Source organism: Homo sapiens, chromosome 17, assembly GCF_000001405.40.
Source record: "Homo sapiens chromosome 17, GRCh38.p14 Primary Assembly".
NCBI classification, from domain to species: domain Eukaryota; kingdom Metazoa; phylum Chordata; class Mammalia; order Primates; family Hominidae; genus Homo; species Homo sapiens.
Window position 1 is genome coordinate 47,046,199 of NC_000017.11, and position 20,296 is coordinate 47,066,494.

Below are 20,296 nucleotides of genomic sequence, written 5' to 3' on the forward strand. Positions count from 1 at the left end.
CTGGGCATGGTGGTGCAAGCCTATACTCCCAGCTACTCGGGGGACTGAATTTGGAGGATCCCTTGAGCCCAGGGGGGTTGAGGCTGCAATGAGGTATAATTTTGCCACTGTATTTCAGCCTGGGTGACAAAATAAAAATAAAAAATAATAATTTTCCGCTTGGTAATTAATAAATAATCTGTGGGTTGTTACTTTGAGTTCAGTGAAGATCCTGTTCTCAAATGTCTTTTCACCCAAATGTGCATCAGTGATAATCCTTGTCTGAATGAATTTGTATTACACTGATGGTTGCAAAGTGACAATTTTAAAAATTCTGTCATTCCTTCTACATTTACTAGCTGGCATTATTTCATTGAAGAAGAACTCCCCCTCTTTCTTTTTCTATATCACTCTTCGTGGATTCTTCTTTATATTAAATATGTTGTAACTTATTGTTGTTATTCTTTTGAATGCTCAAATTGTCCAGATTTGACCAATGCAATCTTTGTTATTTTTTAACTCCACAATCGAGGTTAAACTAAGCTATTTTTAATGCCCAGAGTAATTTATAATATTTCCCACTCCCAACAGGAATTGAGAAAGGGACTCCAGAAGTTGGGGGCTTATTCAGACTTCTTAAAAGTCTACCTTCTTCCTCTGTACTTTCAGCCCAAAGTGAGACTTTTGAGTTGGGAAGAGATACTTCTGAATTAAACTACTAATCACTGTCACCCAATTCTAATCCCAACCATCTTTATTCTAGGCATACCATACTCACTGCCATGCTTACCCTTCAGTTGGGCACCTTTGCCCTCCTTCCTATTGGCCTTCTGGTTCCTACCCAACTGTCCAGTCCATAGGCTTCAATGACACCTTTTTCCCACACCTGTGGCAGCGTTGGCTGCCTCCTTTACCTACTCAAGTAACCGCTTTACCGCTAATTTATTGCTCTCTGTTTTCATCTATAGGATCTTACCTAGCCATATGGCCTGCTGCCTCTGCCAACTTAAAAACAGCATTGAGGCTGTCTGCAAGACAGTCAAGCTGCATTGCAACAGTGCATGTCTGACAAACACCATACATTGTCGTGAGTCCAAATTGCGCGGTGATAAATTGTTACATTAAGTATTTGTTTTTAAACTTTTTATTTTTAATGATGATAAAATTTTAAGCTAATGACATAATTGCTTTATTTTTATTTACTCATTCAGAGTTAAACTCCCTCAATTTCTGAACTACTCCCTTGCTGAGAGTCAGGTTCTCAGTTACTATTACAAAATTTAATAATAGAACTGTTCCATATGCACAAAGGACCAAGACAAAGGAATGGGAAGGCTAGAGAATAACATTAACATCCACACACTGTGTACTGTGCTCTCTGCTTGATGCTTTGCCCACAGTGATAATTTCTTCATATAGTGCAAAGTAGTTTGTAAGGTGGTTTTAAATTCATGAGGTCTCAAGTACTCTCTGCCTTATAGGACAGATGTAGATACGGTTTCGGTTTTTCTGTTTTTACAGTTTTATAAGAGTACAAGTGATGCTGTTTTATTTGAAGCCTGAGAGCTTCTGGTTCCATAACCAGAAATTGCTACCTGGCTCTTCTAATAGAATGGAGGGCTTTTCCATTCTTAGACCATCCAACTCTGAACTTGCTCTGAATCTCAAACCTTTCTGTTCACAGAACAAATGCTCAAGGGCTTTCAAGAGTGTTTCTGTAGATTAGGTTTATTAGCATCAACTTCATGACTTCTAAAATGTGACTACTTTCATGTCCAGATAGCTTGAATACAGGTATCTACCAGTGATATGGGGTGGAGAATTAATAATGCTTGGTTACATAAAGTCAGTGTTGCTTATTTTTCAAAACTTTTTTTTTTTTTTTTTACCAATTATATTATTCCCTTCTCCCCAAGAAGTGGGCAGAAAAGCTTTGTTAACCTCCTTTTACAGATGAAGAAAAACAAGATCAGAGGTGCTAAGTGCTGTAGCCTAGTGCCAGGTCTTCTGGCCCCAATTCTGGGTTCTCCCCAAGCCCATGCTTCTTCCACTTTCTCACAATCTTTACTTCTTCCTCTGACCCTCACCACCACCCAAAATACTTTTAATTCTGGAAAAGAAACCCAGCTGCACACTGGCACACTTGACCTTCATGCAGTCAGAAGCTTTGGCTGATTCCCCATCCAAAATATTAGAGATGAAATGAAAGCAAAGTAGGCATCTGACAAAAGTTGCTTTTTCCCTTCTGCATTTTAGGACCTCAAGTAATGTTTATCCAGAAACTGTTATCATACCAGAGATTCACTGTGTATTTAACAACATAGGCATGCAATCTGGCAAATTTGAAAAACTCTTAACATACACCCCAAATCCCTGCCCAAATTTAAGAACTAGGGTGGACACAGTGCTTTTTTCCATGTCGCATCTTCTGTGATGGGGCTACGATATGTGGGAGCAGAGAATGGGGAGGGTGGAGCGCATGCCAGATGAGGATCTATCAGCAATGGGAGGGGGCCTCCACTTTAGCATCTCCACCCTGCTCCTCTCAGAGGACCGCCTTTCATTGCATTCAGCTGTGATGGTAGCAAGAACACAGGCGCACCGAGGACGAGGAGAGCGGGAGCCTTGTGCTCTCTCTGCATCTGAGGCAGGACAGCACAGGGTATGGAGCAGTCTGCAGAGAGGCCAGCTCATCAGCTCATCAGGGAAGCACTTGTCTTCCACCTTGGGCTTTGACTGAGCACTGGGCAATTGGACCCTGGGGATCAATGAAATAATCCTAAGCAGAGTTACTCTATGTCACACTATGGAATGTTCCAAGTAGATGGCCGTGTTTTCAAAAGATATATTTTCTCCTTTTGTTGTTGCCATTTCATAGGTTTAGGATTGGGTGTGTGTGTCTCCTCTCTGAATGGCACTCAAATGTTTGCTGACTCCTACTCTGTGTGACTGGGGTGTACAGCTATGGACTGATGCATCCCATCCCATCATCTTTCATGAGCAAAGCAGTCTCTTTTTTGACAGCTGAAGAAGAATCTGTAGGGAATCCAGAAGGAGCATTCATGAAGACGTTACAAGCCCGGAAGAATTACACAAGCACTGAGCTGACTGTTGAGCCGGAGGAGCCCTCAGACAGCAGTGGCATCAACTTGTCAGGCTTTGGGAGTGAGCAGCTAGACACCAATGACGAGAGTGAGGTTATCAGTGCACTAAGTTACATTTGCCATATTTCTCAGCAGTAAACCTAGATGTGGAATCAATGTTACTACCGTTCATTAAACTGCCAACCACAGGAAACAGCCTGGCAAAGATTCAAACTGTAGGCCAAAACCAGCAAAAAGTGAATAGAGTCCTCATGGGCCCAAGGAGCATCCAGAAAAGGCACTTCAAAGAGGTGGGAAGGCAGAGCATCAGGAGGGAACAGGGTGCCCAGGCATCTGTGGAGAACGCTGCCGAAGAAAAAAGGCTCGGGAGTCCAGCCCCAAGGGAGCTGGAACAGCCTCACACACAGCAGGGGCCTGAGAAGTTAGCGGGAAACGCCATCTACACCAAGCCTTCGTTCACCCAAGAGCATAAGGCAGCAGTCTCTGTGCTGACACCCTTCTCCAAGGGCGCGCCTTCTACCTCCAGCCCTGCAAAAGCCCTACCACAGGTGAGAGACAGATGGAAAGACAACACACACACTATTTCCATTTTAGAAAGTGCAAAGGCTAGAGTTACAAATATGAAGGCTTCTAAACCAATTTCACATTCCAGAAAAAAATACCGCTTTCACAAAACTCGCTCCCGCATGACCCACAGAACACCCAAGGTCAAAAAGAGTCCAAAGTTCAGAAAGAAAAGTTATCTGAGTAGACTGATGCTCGCAAACAGGCCTCCGTTCTCTGCAGCGAAGAGCCTCATAAATTCCCCTTCACAAGGGGCTTTTTCATCCTTAGGAGACCTGAGTCCTCAAGAAAACCCTTTTCTGGAAGTATCTGCTCCTTCAGAACATTTTATAGAAACCACTAATATAAAAGACACAACTGCAAGAAATGCCTTGGAAGAAAATGTTTTTATGGAAAACACTAACATGCCAGAAGTCACCATCTCTGAAAACACAAACTACAATCATCCTCCTGAGGCAGATTCCGCTGGGACTGCATTCAACTTAGGGCCAACTGTTAAACAAACTGAGACAAAATGGGAATACAACAACGTGGGCACTGACCTGTCCCCCGAGCCCAAAAGCTTCAATTACCCATTGCTCAGTTTGAAATTCAGCTAACCCAGCAGCTACAGTCCCTTATCCCCAACAATGTGAGAAGGCTCATTTCTCATGTTATCCGGACCTTGAAGATGGACTGCTCTGGGGCCCATGTGCAAGTGACCTGTGCCAAGCTCATCTCCAGGACAGGCCACCTGATGAAGCTTCTCAGTGGGCAGCAGGAAGTAAAGGCATCTGAGATAGAATGGGATACGGACCAATGGAAGACTCAGAACTACATTAATGAGAGCACGGAAGCCCAGAGTGAACAGAAAGAGAAGTCGCTTGAGGTGAGGACCACACAGAAACATGAGACCCAGATTTCCCATCATTTAGCATATCCCAGGAAAGTGCCCACACAGAAGAATCTGGGACTCCCAGGCCATAGCTTATCTTGGCCATGTAACTTTGGTCATGACAGTGATCTCCCACTTTGCTCATGTAGAGAGTGAAATATAGATTAGGGCACAAGATGAACTGTAGGCCAGGGGTGGTAGCTCATGCCTGTAATCTCAGCACTTTGGGAGGCCAAGGTGGGTGGATTACTTGAAGTCAGGAGTTTGAGACCAGCTTGGCCAACATAGTGAAAGCCTGTCTCCACAAAAAATAAAAAAATTAGCTGGGTTGATGACACGTGCCTGTAGTCCCAGCTACTTGGGAGGCTGAGGTGGGAGGGTCACCTGAGCCCAGGGAGGTCGAGTCTAGTGAACGGTGATTGCACCACTGTACCCCAGCCTGGGTAACAGAGTGAGACCCTCTTTCAAAAAAATAAAAAAGAACCTGTAAGCTACTCACCTGGAATACTGGGGTTTTGAATAGTTAGCTCTCATTCTGGTGTGTTTTTTTTTGTTTTGTTTTTTTGTTTTTTTTAGCTCACAAAATAAGTTCCAGGATATGGCTATACTGACAAACTCATCTTGGCATTAATTGTGACTGAAATACTAATGATTTTTATTATACTTTTCTGCCTCATTGTGGTAAGGACAATAATTAATTCAGGTTGTCAGAATGCAGTCCTGTTTCTGTGTGGATTCAGAGCTCACAAACTGAAAACCAAAGCCACTTTCCCACCTGCTGCTACTTGACATACTTCTTCAGTCATTTAAGGCTGAGGTGTATGCTTTGTTCTTTTATTGCAGTGTATATTTCAGGATTTTTAAAAGATCCTCGCTTCCAGATCTCTGTGAATTGAAACCAAGTTAATCCCACTAGACTATTTTAAGAAGTCGATATAATAGCAAAATTTCTCCACCCAAAACTATGTCAACAATTGGATGTACTCATCAAGTCACCCTTACTCTGCCACTAATTTATTTCCTTGGTGCTGAAATGATGAGAGAGGTATAATCTCCACCCTCACGGATTTGTCATCACCCTGGAGAGGAAGGAGAGAGCCAAAAGACAGAAGTATTGTCTTGTAGACTTATTAGATTTACACAGTATCGTCCTCCAGTGTGTAAGGCATTGTCTAAATAGGTCCAGTTAAAGCACTACAGAGTAGCCATCTTTTACAAAAATTGTTGGCCACATTTTTAAGTTCACAGGCGAGGGGGAACGTCTCATACTCTAGCCCTCCTGAGCCTAGACCCTCTGTGAGATGTGTCACCATTTCTTGGACACCATGTGAGACATTCCCCCTCAGATTAGAGATGCTCAGCCTGCATCAACTTATCTAAAGCCTACATCTGGCTACTCTGGGGCAAGTCCTGTTTACAGTGCCCATTCCTGGAGCTTGCCTCTGTTTGTCTTTTGTTCGATTACATGATATATTACTTTTCCCAACAGGCCAGTGCTAGCATATTGGAAGAGTGATTTAATAAAGCTGGCAACCTTGACGCTATGCCACCAGTCCAACCTTATTTGCCTCATTTACCATTTCCATTATTGTGGCAGCCCTCCATTCCAGCCACAGCAGCCCCTCACTATACCCCAGTCACACCACCCACATTTCTGCTTCTGTCTGTGTGTTTGTCCATCTAAAATGCCCTTATTTCACTCTGCCTGTGGGAGTCCTATGCATCTCTCAAAAGCCAACACAAGTTCATCTTTCTTCTTGACACCTTCCCTGAATATTCCAGCCGTGCTGAGCCTAGTCCCTTTGTGAGATTTGTCACCATTTCTTGGACACCATATGAGAGACTTCAGAGGCTGAAGTGGGAGGATCGCTTGAGCCTGGGAGGTCGAGGATGCAGTGAGCTGTGGTCGTACCACTGCACTCTAGCCTGGGCAACACAGCGAGGCCCTGTCTTAAAAACAGCCACCACCAAAAACTATCTTGGGATTTGAATAGGATTACGTTAAATTTGTAGATTAATTTGAGAATTTACATCTGTACGACATTGTAGGAATGTGCTGTCTCATGATGGAACTAACAAGGATACACCTGCTGTCCCCAGCCCTTTTGGGAGGTGGGGAGGGATAGGAAGGAGAAAGGTTTTGGTGCCTATTGCTGCTGATGGTGGGCATCAGGCCAGGCCAGGGGCCTTCTTGGAGGCTCTGGGAAAGGGGAAGGGAAGGCCACCGGGTGTGAGAGAGAGGGCACTTGTCTCCTTCAAGGCTGATGGAAGGTAGGATATGTGAGTCCTTCCTCTTAAGTGGCAGGAAACAGTATTTTCTCTTTTCTTTTTTTCCCCTGGATACTAGAACTGAGGAAACACTATTTTCTCATCTTACTGGTTTTTGCGCCCCCACTCTATTCCTTTTACACAAACCTCACAGAATTTTAACCAGAAAGGCCAGGCAGGATGGCTCACGCCTGTAATCACAGCACTTTGGGATCACTTGAGGTTAGGAGCTCGTGACCAACCTGACCAACATGGTGAAACCCCATCTCTACTAAAAATACTAAATTAGCTGGGTGTGGTGGCACAGGCATGTAATCCCAGCTATTTGGGAGGCTGAGGCAGGAGAACTGCTTGAAACCAGGAGGCGCAGGTTGCAGGGAGCCAAGATAGCACCATTGCACTCCAGCCTGGGGAACGAGCCAAACTGTCTCAAATAAAAAAAAACAACAAAAAAGAATTTTAACTACGGAGAACTTAGATAGTAGTTTGTCCTTTTATGACAGGAAAACTGAGAAGGAGAAAGGGAGAGTGTCTTACCCCATGGTCACACAATGCACTCTGCCTTTTCCTATTTTATTCAAATTCAAAAATAACATGTTGTGGTTTAAGCTGATTTCGCAGCTCACTCACTCATCAGCGACAGCCAGCTGTATGAAGACTGTGAGATAGAGAACTTGGCTAGCTGCACTCAGGCATTTGCTTGAGGTGATCCAACTTATAGAATAAAGTATCTAGAAAAGGAAGAACCACTTCATCTCCCACCCCCCATCAAATGATGCCTGTGAGACTAAGTCCGAAGGGGACTGATATAAAATGCTTCTGCCCAGCATGGTTGTGCAGTTTGTTCACTGCACAAGGGCACTTGGCCAAGGGGATGAGTGGGAATGAACATCCTGCCCCTGCTCCATGCTGAGCCACATACAAAGTCCCCCCAGTATATTGTGGGGCCCTTCTGGACAGACATGGAGAGCTTCTGAAAGTCCCACATGCATGGAATTATTTTCAAGACCCCAGGTATGTGGTCTGTGGTGGTTCTTCTCCCTGTGATTATGGACTGAGATACTCATTTAGTTCTAATAAGACCAGAGAAGTACATTGTGAGATACGTGGGAAACGGCTGCATCACTCACTGTCTTGTGCATGTGTCTCCCCAGGGGCATTTTCAGATTTCTGCCACGGAGATGCTCTTCGCAAAGGGAGAGTCAGGTACATTGGAGGATTCATTGCTGTGACCAGGGAAAGCAGAGGACATGCAAAATTAATATTTCCCTTTCTATCTTCTAGGATGGACTTTTTTCATTCAGAAAGCCGCTCTGGCTTAAAGACATGTACAAACCTCTCAGTGCCACAAGAGTAAAGAATCACGCATGGAAGCTGCACAAGAAGTCATCTAATGAGGACAAGATCCTCAACAGGGACCCTGGGTAAATGACGGGACCCTCACAGTTCCCATCTAAAATGAGGAGGGGGTGAGACGCTTAATTGCTCCTTTCAAGAATGAAAACCTTGGCATTGTTATTCTTATCCCAGGGACAGTGAAGCCCCAACAGAGAAGGAGGAGGAGAGTGAAGCCCTGCCATAGGAGGAGAACCCAGCCCACCTCAGGCCTCCTGCAAAAACACATAGCATAAACAATACCATCAGAAAGAAAAGCAGGACTGAAGCCAGCAGCCCACACATCCACAGAGGCAGCGGGCAGAGCAAGCACAGGGCCATCGTTCCTGCCCTTGTTTCCCAGTCTAATTAGTCACCCAGACCTGAAAACATATCCTCAGGGGGTGGAGATTTTACAATTAAATACCATTGTTTTTGGTGCCCTCTCCCTGGGTTCATCAAGCACCAGTCATATAATACCACATACTTGAACTCCTGCCCACAGGGGACCTCCCATCTCCTGGCCCCTATTATAGGATCACTGGGCCTACCTGCACTGTGGGGCCAAGCCCTGTCTTTTTCCCAAGCCCTCAAGCACACGCATGAATGTTCATCCCGACTTGGTAGGGGGCTTTTCACCCTTACAAGATGGCAAAAGATTCACACTGCTTTTTTTAAAATTTGTTTTTCTTTTTAAAAATCCCAACCCTTGGATAGCAAGGGAGGTGCTGGAGGGGTAGGGTCAAGAAGAGTGTGTGAGAACAGTAATTTCCCAAGACTGCCCTCTGCGGGACTGTATTTCAGAAAACACACTGGTGGGGCTACCTCTCCATTCACATGTACTGCCCTAGCCTCTCCCCATCCCCGGCTGATGCACTTCCATATCTGCACTGTTCCATAACAGCAGTAGCATGTTGCAGAAAGCGCTAGGATTCCTCCACTCCATCTTCAAAGAAAAAGTCGCTAATAAATCACATTTGGTAGGTTAGTGAACGTTAAACACATTAGTGAGCAAAAGAAAATAGGAATGAACAAGAATTGGTCATCTACCTAACTGAACACAAATGAACTCTGGCAGTTCGGTAATAGGAGGTAAAGAACCGCGCTAATTGCAGAACAGCAGCCCCCCTACCTTCCCAGGAGCAGTGTGACTGGGAAGCAGCCCCGTGTGTATGCTGGTGCAGGTTCTAAGCAAAGTGAGCTGCCCATCAGTTCTGATGAGTTTGCTGATGCTAGACATATGACATCTGTTCTCTTGCTGCCTGCCCCAGTTATCTCCCAAAGTTCTTTACTGAGAATGAAAAGCATCTTTCTCTGTGTGGTGACTTCAGTAGGCCAACAAATATTTGAGTTTAAAGCACAAGACTAAATAGTCATAGGCAGAGCAGTGCTACCATTTACAATTTGCTTACTTGATGCTAAACCATGGGTTAGGCATTTTACAGTCATATCATCTAGCCCAGCAAGTCATGGAAGCATAGTTGTTAAAATCATCTGATACTTTGGGAGGCTGGGGCGGGCAGATCACGAGGTCAGGAGATCGAGACCATCCTGGCTAACATGGTGAAACCCTGTCTCTACTAAAAATACAAAAAAATTAGCCACGGGTGGTGGCAGGAGCCTGTAGTCCCAGCTACTCAGGAAGCTGAGGCAGGAGAATGGCGTCAACCCGGGAGGTGGAGCTTGCAGTAAGCCGAGATCATGCCACTGCACTCCAGCCCGGGCAAGAGAGTGAGACTTCGTCTAAAAAAAAAAAAATCATCATCTGACAGATAAGGATACAGGGCTTGAAGAACATAGGTGACCTGCCCCAAGTGTCCAAAGCCACACATCCAAAATGACAAATTAGGGTTTTAAGCCAGCACTCTTAGACTTCAAAGCCTCTTAACCATTCCACTGCCCTGCTGTAGGGCATAGGGAGATAAGGGGGATAAGCTATGGTTGCCATCAAAGAGTTAATATATCAATAATATGCGGATGGTGAGGATGATGGCAGCTGCTAGGGGTCTACAGGCGTGTACCACCATGCCCAGCTACAATTCTTATTATTCCCAAATGCTACTGTGTCCGGAATTGGTGGGTTCTTGGTCTTACTGACTTCAAGAATGAAGCCGCGGAACCTCGCGGTGAGTGTTACAGCTCTTAAGGTGGTGCGTCTGGAGTCTGTCCGTTCTGATGTTGAGATGTGTTCGGAGTTTCTTCCTTCTGGTGGGTTCGTGGTCTCGCTGGCTCAGGAGTGAAGCTGCAGACCTTCACGGCAAGTGTTACAGCTCTTAAGGCAGCGCGTCTGGAGTTGTTTGTTCCTCCCGGTGGGCTCGTGGTCTCGCTGGGCTCAGGAGTGAAGCTGCAGATCTTCGCGGTGAGTGTTACAGCTCATAAAAGCAGCGTGGACCTAAAGAGTGAGCAGTAGCAAGATTTATTGCAAAGAGCAAAAGAACAAAGCTTCCACAGTGTGGAAGGGGACCCGAGCGGGTTGCCAATGCTGGCTCGCGCAGCCTGCTTTTATTCTTATCTGGCCCCACCCACATCCTGCTGATTGGTAGAGCCAAGTGGCCTGTTTTGACAGGGTGCTGATTGGTGCATTTACAATCCCTGAGCTAGATACAAAGGTTCTCCACGTCCCCATCAGATTAGTTAGATACAGAGTTTCGACACACAGGTTCTCCAAGGCCCCACCAGAGCAGCTAGATACAGAGTGTCAATTGGTGCATTCACAAACCTTGAGCTAAACACAGGGTGCTGATTGGTGTGCTTACAAACCTTGAGCTAGATACAGAGTGCCGACTGGTGTATTTACAATCCCTGAGCTAGACAAAGGTCCTCCAAGGCCCCACCAGACTCAGGAGCCCAGCTGGCTTCACCCAGTGGATCCCGCACTGGGGCGGCAGGTGGAGCTGCCTGCCAGTCCTGCACCATGCGCTCACACTCCTCAGCCCTTGGGCAGTCGATGGGACTGCCCCGTGAAGCAGGGGGTGGCGCTCATCGGGGAGGCTCGGGCCGCACAGGAGCCCATGGAGGGGGTGGGAGGCTCAGGCATGGCGCACTGCACGTCCCGAGCCCTGCCCCACGGGAAGGCAGCTAAGGCCCGGTGAGAAATCGAGCATAGCGCCAGTGGGCCGGCACTGCTGGGGGACCCAGTACACTTTCCGCAGCCACTGGCCCGGGTGCTAAGCCCCTGACTGCCTGGGGCCGGCAGGGCCGGCCGGCTGCTCCGAGTGCGGGGCCCGCCAAGCCCACGCCCACCCGGAACTCCAGCTGGCCTGCAAGCACCGCACGCAGTCCCGGTTCCCGCTCGCGCCTCTCCCTCCACACCTCCCTTCAAGCTGAGGGAGTGGGCTCCAGCCTTGGCCAGCCCAGAAAGGGGCTCCCACAGTGCAGTGGTGGGCTGAAGGGCTCCTCACGTGCCGCCAAAGAGGGAGCCCAGGCAGAGGAGGTGCCGAGAGCAAGCGAGGGCTCTGAGGACTGCCAGCATGCTGTCACCTCTCACTACCCCACCATATTTCTAAAAACTCCCAAAGTAAGATTCTACTTTGCCTAGTTTGTCCTCAATTGAGCAGTTTTGTCTAAGCCCAGAGTTTCTGCTGGGCCAGACTATGGATAAGCTGTCTCTCCCAGGCTGGTGCCCATGCCTGCCTGTAGCCGGGGGGGGGGAGGGGCACCCGGGGTCATGTGGAACAAAACATGACTGCCTAGGGCTGCCTCTGTCTCCATCTCACTGATCGCAAATCACAGTTCAGACAGCCAGCTCTTAAGTGAGACCTGAGTGCCAGAGAGAGGTGGATACGAGGCCAACAGTTACTAAATGAATGAAAATTGTGATTCCAACGAAGCCTGCCAGAGAAATAAAGCATTTTTTAAAAGATGGAAATAAGCCGATATCTGATTAGGGCAAACATGATGCAGACAAGAAATGCACTGGTTCAGAGGAGGGAAGGTCAGGCCGCCTGGGGAGAGTCCATGAAAAAGATGGAACGTGCCAGATGCTGTGCCTGGTGCTGGGAAAGAGTTGACTAGGCCAGCATCCCTTTCCTCAAAGGGCTCCTAGACTGGGGGGAGGGCTGGATATCTGAATACATCCTGAGGAGACAGTGTGGGACAGCATGGTGGCAGTGGAGCCAGCCGTGGTTCTGCTCTTGGTCGGCTGGAAAGGAGACGTAAGGGATGGCTTAGAAGAAGGGAAGTGGAAGAAAAGTTTTCTGAGCTGACAAGAGGAAGGAAAGGGCTTCTAGAAGGACACTACAAAGGCATAGAAGCCCTAAGCAGAGTGACCACCAGACTCCACAGGTTAAGGGCTCAGTCACATCGGACCACCCCCACGTCAGACCCCAGGTGCAAGGCCAAGCATCACCTATGCATCTGACCAACTGGCTATAAATTGGAGGTCCCCAAAACTCCCTCCTCAGGTTTGAACATTTGCTAGAACAGCTCATGGAACCCAGGAAAACAGTTTTCTTACTATTGCTGATTTATTACAAACGATACTTTAAAGGACACAAATGAACAGCCAGATGAAAAGATACACAGGGTGAGGTCTGGAAGGGTCCTTGTGGAGTTGGGGTGCACCACTCTCCTGGAACATGGATGTGTTCGCCAACCCGGAAGCTCTCCAAGTCCTGTCTTTCAAGGAGTTTTCTGGAGGCTTTATCACGTAGGTATGATTGAGCTCCAGCTCCATTTCCTACCCCAGAGGATGGGGAATGGGGCTGACAGCACAACGCTTCCACCCATAGTGAGGTTTTTTGATGACCAGTCTCCAAATAAGGAGCCCACCAAGAGTCACCTCATGAGAACAAAGGACACTCCTATCACCCAGAAAATTCCAAGGGATTTAGGAGCTCTGTGTCAGGAACCAGGGTCAAAGACCAAACGTTAGAACAAAAGATGTGCAACCATAAAAAACAGCGAGATCATGTCTTTTGCAGGAACACGGATGGAGCTAGAGGCCATTATCCTCAGCAAACTAAGACAGGAACAGAAAACCAAATACTGTATGTTTTTACTTATAAGTGGGAACTAAATGATGAGAACTCATAAACAACAGACACTGGGCCTGAGAGTGGAGGGTGGGAGGAGGGAGAGGAGCAGAAAAAACTACTGGGTACTAGGCTTCGTACCTGGGTGATGAAATAATCTGTACAACAAACCGCCATGACACAAGTGTACCTATATTACGAACGTGCACATGTATCCCCTAACCTAAAATAAAAGTTTGTTTCCTAAAAGAAAAAAACCACTCGAGAAAAGAAAAATGATACATTTTTTACAAAAAGAAGACAATGCTCCTAGCACCCCCATCATTCAGGAATTTCCAAGGGTTTTAGGAGCTTTGTGTTAGGAACTGTGGGCAGAGACCAAATATATATTTCTTCTTATGTTACACTACCCCAGATAGGAAAACAGAAATTACTCTAGATATTTCAAACAAAAGGGGTTGTATATAGGCAATTAGTGCTTATCACTGGAGGGGCTAGAGGTGGTGAAGGTTGTGGGGACGGGGTTGCACCACTGGCTTTCAGGCTACACAGCTGATTTCCAGAGGATGGAAGAAGGCAGGAAACTTGGGAAACCGCTGCTGAGGTCCTTGCAGCCCCACCGTCCCCAGGCTGGTGACTGGTGGGGGAGTATGGAGTCCAGCTGACCACCAGAGCCTGCACGCCTGCTGCTATGGGGAAGGAAAGGATGACTTCTACCTCCTTTCCACATTCCAAATTCCACGTGACTACATTTTATTGGCAGCACCCTGCTGGCAAGTGAGCCTTGATGTGTGCTTCCTGGGCTTCTGGCACCTGCACAGAAAGGGGTGAAATGAGTGTCACGAGCAGCCACCACTCTGCATCACACCTCCACGTCCAGGCGTGCTGGAGAGCCCCACTTATACTTGGAGGTGTCCTGGCGCCCTACCCACTTTTGGTAGGCGTTTGGGTATTTGAGGCTTTGCAAAAGAAGGCGGCGTGGAGTCTACGGTGGAGTCACATGGTGGAGACCTAGCTAAGTCAGAGGCCTGGAGAGGTGTCACTCTAGCTGGGCAGCAGGTGACACACCATCATCCTGAGCTGATTGGAGAAAGACCTGGGATTGACCTGGAGTTTGTTCTGGAATGTTTTCACTGGAATGAAAGCTGAGCGGTCTGCAGGCCATATAGTATTGGAGAAAACATAGCCCTCAGTGAAAAAGGCTGCCAGAGAAAAGGTGTCCACAGGGAAATTCAGGGGTTTTGTTTGTTTGGGTTTTTTATTTCTTTTTCTTTTGAGATGGAGTTTCGCTCTTGTTGCCCAGTCTGGAATGCAATGGCACAATCTCAGCTCACTGCATCCTCTGACTCCTGGGTTCAAGCAATTCTCCTGCCTCAGTTTCCCTAGTAGCTGGGATTATAGGCATACACCACCACACCCAGCTAATTTTTGCATTTTTAGTAGAGATGGGGTTTCACCATGTCGGCCAGGCTGGTCTCGAACTCCTGACCTCAGGTGATCCACCTGCCCCGGCCTCCCAAAGGGCTGGGATTACGGGATTACAGGTGTTAGCCACTGCGCCCAGCTTGGTTTTTTTTTTTTTTTTTTTTTAATGAGACAGTCTCACTATGTCGCCCAGGCTGCAGTGCAGTAGTGTGATCTTGGCTCACTGCAACCTCTGCCTCCCGAATAGCTGGGATTACCGGCACCCACCACCACGCCTGGCTAATTTTTACAGTTTTTTTTATAAAACAGAGTTTCACCGTGTTGGCCAGGCTGCTCTTGAACTCCTGACCTCAAGTGATCCGCGCTCACCTTGGCCTCCCAAGGTGCTGGGATTACAGGCGTGAGCCACTGAACGCCGCCAGGCAATTCAGTTTCTGAAAATACACCTGTGGGTCTCTAGCCTTGAACATCCTTGGATGCTGCTTTAAATGGCTGATCCTCAATGCTTCCCTTCTAACTCACAGGCCCGCTCCCCTACATCAATCTCACAGAAAAAGGGACCTCTTATTCATTTTTTTGTTTTGCAGAGACAGGCTTTGTTGCCCAGGCTGGTTTTGAACTCCTGGCCTTAAGTGATCCTCCCGCCTTGGTCTCTCAGGGTACTGGGATTACAGGCGGGAGTCCCCGCGCCCGGTGAAGCCTATATTAAACCCTTTTATGTTCACTCTGCGGTACTGCAGAGAGAGCAGGGAGGGAGCAGAGATGCCATGGGGACTTCAGTGGAGGAATCAGGAACCTAGGATTGTTCTGAAGTGCCTTGATTATGGTATATGTGGAAGATTTTAGAGCTTGTTGTAAAAAGTGATGACCCATGGCTCTCCAGGCTGGGTCTGGGATTGCCTTCGTGGATTATAAGAGGATATTATGCAGCAGTTCTTAAAAATGAGGCAGACTGGGACAATCTATCTCCAAGATGCATAGGTGCTGTTAAGGGAACAAAGCAAGATTTAGTGGGGCGTGTATAGTATGCTACTGTGCGCTGTGCATTATCTGTACAGAACTGTGAGGTCTGATACAGTAGCCACTAGCCACATATGGCTATTTACAAATAAATTTAGTTTGGGCCTGGTGGCTCATGCCTGTAATCCCAGCACTTTGGGAGGCAAAGGTGGGAAGATAGCTTGAGGCCAATAGTTCGAGACCAGCCTGTGCAACATAGTGAAACCTGTTTTCTACAAAAATTTTATTTATTTTTAATTTATTTATTTTTTGACACGGGTCTCACTGTCACCCAGGCTGGAGTACAGTGGCACAGTCTCAGCTTCTTACAACCTCTGCCTCCTGGGCTCAAGCGATTCTCATGCCTCAGCCTCCCTAGTAGCTGGGACTACAGGTGTGCACCACCATACCCAGCTAATTTTTGTATTTTTGGTAGAGACAGGGTTTCACCACGTTGGCCAGGCTGGTCTTGAACTCCTGACCTCAGGTGATCTGCCCGCCTCAGCCTCCCAAAGTGCTGAGATTACAGGTGTGAGCCACCGCACTTGGCCAAAAAATTTAAAAATGTAAAAATCAGCCAAACATGGTGGCATGCATCTGTAGTCCCAGCAACTTAGGAGGCTGAGGTGGGAGGATTTCTTGAACCCAGGAGGTCAAGGTTGTAGTGAGCCATGACTGCACCACTACACTCCAGCCTGGACAACAGAGTGAGGCCCTGTCTCAAAAAATAAATAAATAGGAGTTTGAGGCCATGTTCACACCTCTGCACTCCAGCCTGGTAAACAGAGCAAGACCTGTGTCTTAAAAAAAAAAAAAAAACTTTTTTTAAAGTTAGCTCCTAAGACACACTAGCCACATATCAAGTGCTCAACTGCCCCATGTGGCTAATGGCTACCAAACTGGGCAGCACGGGTGACTGTTTTCATCATTGAAGTTCTGTTGGACAAAACTGGCACAGAATACTTCTGGAAGCACACACGAGAAACTGGTAATGGTGGTTGCCTTCGGGGAGGGAAATTGGGAGGGTGCAGGGCTGTATGTCCTTTTGTACCTCTTGAATTTCATATCATGTGTTTGTATTAGGTGTTCACAAATTATTTTAAAAACAAACTGGAAATTAGGAATCCCCATATGGAATCACTGCAGTGGGACAGTGGTTCCCAAAAAATTACTTTGCAATTTGCCTAAAACAAATTAAGCTAATAGCTACCATGATTTCATATTTAATATTTTTTCACAGCTTAGAGCTACTTAGGTCCTGTTGCTATCTCTCTGCTCTTATGAGCTCAGAGGGTGACAAAGCAAATTAGTAAGTAGCAGGAGAACATTAAAGGAAAAACTCCTGGGCAACAGGGCAAAACGCCGGCTCTACAGAAAATACAAAACATTAGCCAGGCATAGTGGCATGCACCTGTGGTCTTAGCGACTTGGGAGGCTGAGGTGGGAGGATCGCTTGAGGCGGTAACTCAATCCCAGAGGAATCCCAGGGAGCGAAGGTGGCTCATCCCAAAAGAAAAACAAGAAGGAAATTCTATTACCAGAAGACAAGGGGATGAAATGAGGGATGCAGAACCAAAGACTGAAGCTACTGGTGTTCATTTTTATTTATTAATATTTAATTTTTTCAGAGACAAGGGTCTCATGATGTTGCCCAGGCTGGTCTTGAACTCCTGGCCTCAAGCTATCCTCCTGCCTGAGCCTTCCGAAGTTGTTGAGATTACAGATGTGAGCCACTGCACCCAACTCTGGTTTTTGTTAGTTTGGCTGGATTTGGTTTTGGTTTTTGACAGAATTTTGCTGTGCCACCCAGGCTGGAGTGCAGTGGCTCAGCCTCGGCTCACTGCAGCCTTGACCTCCTGGCCTCAAGTGATCCTCCCGCCTCAGCGCCACCCACCCTCCAAACGCCCTCCAACAGCTGGGACTATAAGCGCGCGTGACCGCGCACGGCTAATTTTTGAACTTTTTGAGGAGATGGGGGTTTCATCATGTTGCCCAGGCTGGTCTCCAACTCCTGGACTAAGCAATCTTCCTGCCTTGGCCTCCCAAAGTGTGAGCCACTGCGCCCACCCATTTAAGATTGAAGATAGACTGGGCAAACCCTTAAGCCTAAACCAGTAACAGTTTTTCACAAGTTCATAGATGTTACTGTGGTAAATAACACACAAATTCATTTAAAAGCACGTGTGTCCTCATGGTAATTTTTGGGCCTTTTGTTGTTGTTGTTTTTCAATTAATGGATATTAAAGATACAACTTTTTTTTTTTTTTTTTTTGAGAGGGGGTCTCACTCTGTCGCCCAGACTGGATTGCAGTGGCATGATCACGGCTCACTGCAACCTCTGCCTCCCAGGTTCAAGCGATTCTCCTGCCTCAGCCTCCCGAGTAGCTGGAATTACAGGTGTGTGCAACCACACCTGGCTAATATTTTAATTTTTTGTAGAGACGGGTTTTCACCATGTTGCCCAGGCTGGAAATAAAGGCCCCAACCCAGGAAGCAGTTAAGCAAAGTTCCAGGATGACTGCGTGTGACAGGCTTAGGGGGTAACTTGACCACATGGAGGACAGAACTCGGAGAGGGCACTGTGGGCATGGGCCCCACCCGCTCTTCCAGAGCACTGGCAGAGAACGAGGGCATGATAATGGCCGATGGCACTGAAAGAAAAGGAAAGATCATGAGGCACTCTTTGGGAAGCAGCTGTTATATGTAAAATGTTTATTTAGAAAGAGAATGCTTGTCCCCTGGTACTGCAAAGAAATAGCACTTGAAGGCCAGGTGTGGTGGCTCATGCCTACAATCCCAGCACTTTCGGAGGCCAAGGTGGGTGGATCACGATGTCAGGAGATTGAGACCATCCTGGCCAATATGGTGAAACCCCATCTCTACTAAAAATACAAAAGTTAGCCAAGCGTGGTGGCGTGTGCCTGTAGTCCCAGCTACTCAGGAGGCTGAGGCAGGAGAATTGCTTGAACCCAGAAGGCAGAGGTTACAGTGAGGCGATACCATGCCATTGCACTTCAGTCTGGTTGACAGAGCGAGACTCCATCTCCAAAAAAAGAAAAAGAAAGAAAGAAAGAAATAGCACTAGAATATAAATTTAATTTTCTTAGTAAGGCCATTTTTACTTTCTGCAGAAAGGGTGCTCATCATAGATGGAACAATGGCGAGAGCATATCTAAATAAAGGAGGGATGCAATTTTTATTCTTTACGTAGTTTGTCCTTGTAATTGTATTGTGTCTCCGTTGGCTGGAGCCAGATCTTAAAATTTAAACTAAAACTTGATTGGGTAACAGTTTAAAACTTTTTAAAACAGGTAAAAGTAATGGAAAGACAAGGGAAAAGAGGAAGTAGTTTACAAAAGGACTTAGAAAAGTAATAACATTCCGAAATAAAAAAGGGGCATAGGCTGTGAGCTGGGACATGCCTGCGAGCACGTCCAGTACAGATATTTTGGTTAAAGTATACGGACATAGAATGTACTACATGCCTGTGACCATGTTTAACAGCTACATAGGATAGGGCCTAACAAAACAGTTATTAGCATAAAACAAGGGGGCTTGAAGAAAGTTTTTAAAAGAAATTATTATTTTTAACACTTACGATTTTTCAATAAGGGAAACTCTGAAGAGTAACTTTTACTTTTTATAATTTCTCTCTTTTACATAATTTTTAAACTTATTTAATATGTTTTGGTTTAGCTGCTTTGTTTGATCTTTTAGAAGGAATAGTTTTTCTCAATAGGGTGGAGGAGGGGCTGGGGATATTTTAATAAGAGTTGTGTTTATCAGTTTCTGTTTAAGTTCCCGGCCATTGGCAGAACTACTTCTTGAATGAATTTGAAATAGGGTTGTTAATGCTGGAATTTTTTGCTAACTTATTTGATAAGGTAGTAAGTTCCTGGAGGGCTTTTGTTATGCTCCCAGTGGGAGCAGTGTTGTTTGGGATAAAGGTGTAACACTGAGTTTTGATTATAATGAAAATACCACCTTTCTTTGCTAATATTATATTTGAAGCTATCTTATTCTTCTAGGCTATTTGATTAGTGGCTTTTGTTTAGCTATTTTTTTAATAGCATTTTTGGTATAGTTAACAAGTCGTTGCTGGTTGTAATAAATGTAGTTTAACCTATACTTTTATTAATTATTACCCACTAAAACACTGACTTGCAACTATTTGATTTTTGGCTTTAAATGTATTTGGTATTTCACGAGGAATTTTAGTTGCATTTAAATAGACATGGGAATTAAAAGATCCATAAGGGTCTGCTGCTTCTTTTGTGGCTTCTTCTATCTGTTTATTTATTTTTTGATTGATGAAATATTAGGGTAAAAGGGATAGCCAACTGAATTAGAGCATAAGTATTGTTCTAATTATTTGGCACAGCGTTCAGTAAAGGCCCTCCATAATACCATTATATATTTGCTTGGGGATGAATAAGGGCGGACTGATGGGTCAGCTCTTGGAAGTGCCTGACCTCACTGCATTTTGTTAAATCTTCAAGGAATGCTAAGTTCTCCCCTTGTGGTGAGAGACACGAGGCAAACTTCGCCTTGGAAGATGGGAGGCTGGATGGCTCTTGGGAGCAGACCCGCAGGGTACTACTGCACTTCAGGAAATAGCAGAGAGAGTTTGGTACAGTTTACTATCCTAGGCTGTAGGATTTTGAAAAGGAGATACCATGTCGTCTATGTCTTGTTGATTAGAAGACTATTTGAGTGGAAAGTGGATAACCTGGACC

At 46.1% G+C, this 20,296-nt stretch overlaps 1 protein-coding gene, 1 long non-coding RNA gene and 1 pseudogene across 44 annotated transcripts in view, besides 1 other annotated feature; 2 read left to right on the forward strand and 1 right to left on the reverse strand.

Moving 5' to 3' along the window:
* The window catches only part of LRRC37A2 (leucine rich repeat containing 37 member A2), a 676,337-nt gene extending 673,407 nt beyond the window's left edge, over nt 1-2,930 (forward strand). Inside the window, exon 11 of the mRNA XM_024450773.2 lies at nt 2,858-2,930. Coding sequence (XP_024306541.1) covers nt 2,858-2,863 — 6 coding nt within the window. The 3' untranslated portion in view covers nt 2,864-2,930. The remainder of the gene's footprint in view (nt 1-2,857) is intronic.
* Nucleotides 1-8,214, forward strand: part of LRRC37A17P (leucine rich repeat containing 37 member A17, pseudogene) — a 37,223-nt pseudogene extending 29,009 nt beyond the window's left edge.
* LOC101927060 (uncharacterized) overlaps nt 1-20,296 on the reverse strand; it is a 117,500-nt gene that overhangs the window by 63,413 nt on the left and 33,791 nt on the right. For 20 of the 43 annotated variants that reach the window (XR_007065805.1, XR_007065810.1, XR_007065809.1 and 17 more), the window contains 2 exons: nt 10,262-10,555; nt 7,920-8,015 (listed from right to left, as the gene is read on the reverse strand). This is a non-coding gene — a long non-coding RNA (uncharacterized LOC101927060). Of the gene's footprint in view, nt 1-1,689; nt 10,556-13,853; nt 13,950-20,296 lie in introns of those variants that run through there. The other 23 variants (XR_243711.6, XR_007065793.1, XR_001753104.3 and 20 more) reach the window with 5 other exon arrangements.
* Nucleotides 15,512-15,712: a silencer, noted in NCBI's record as "peak2870 fragment used in MPRA reporter construct". NCBI's record gives its function as "represses an SCP1 promoter by STARR-seq MPRAs in K562 erythroleukemia cells {active_cell/tissue: K562}" and the evidence as "EXISTENCE:reporter gene assay evidence [ECO:0000049][PMID:32103011]".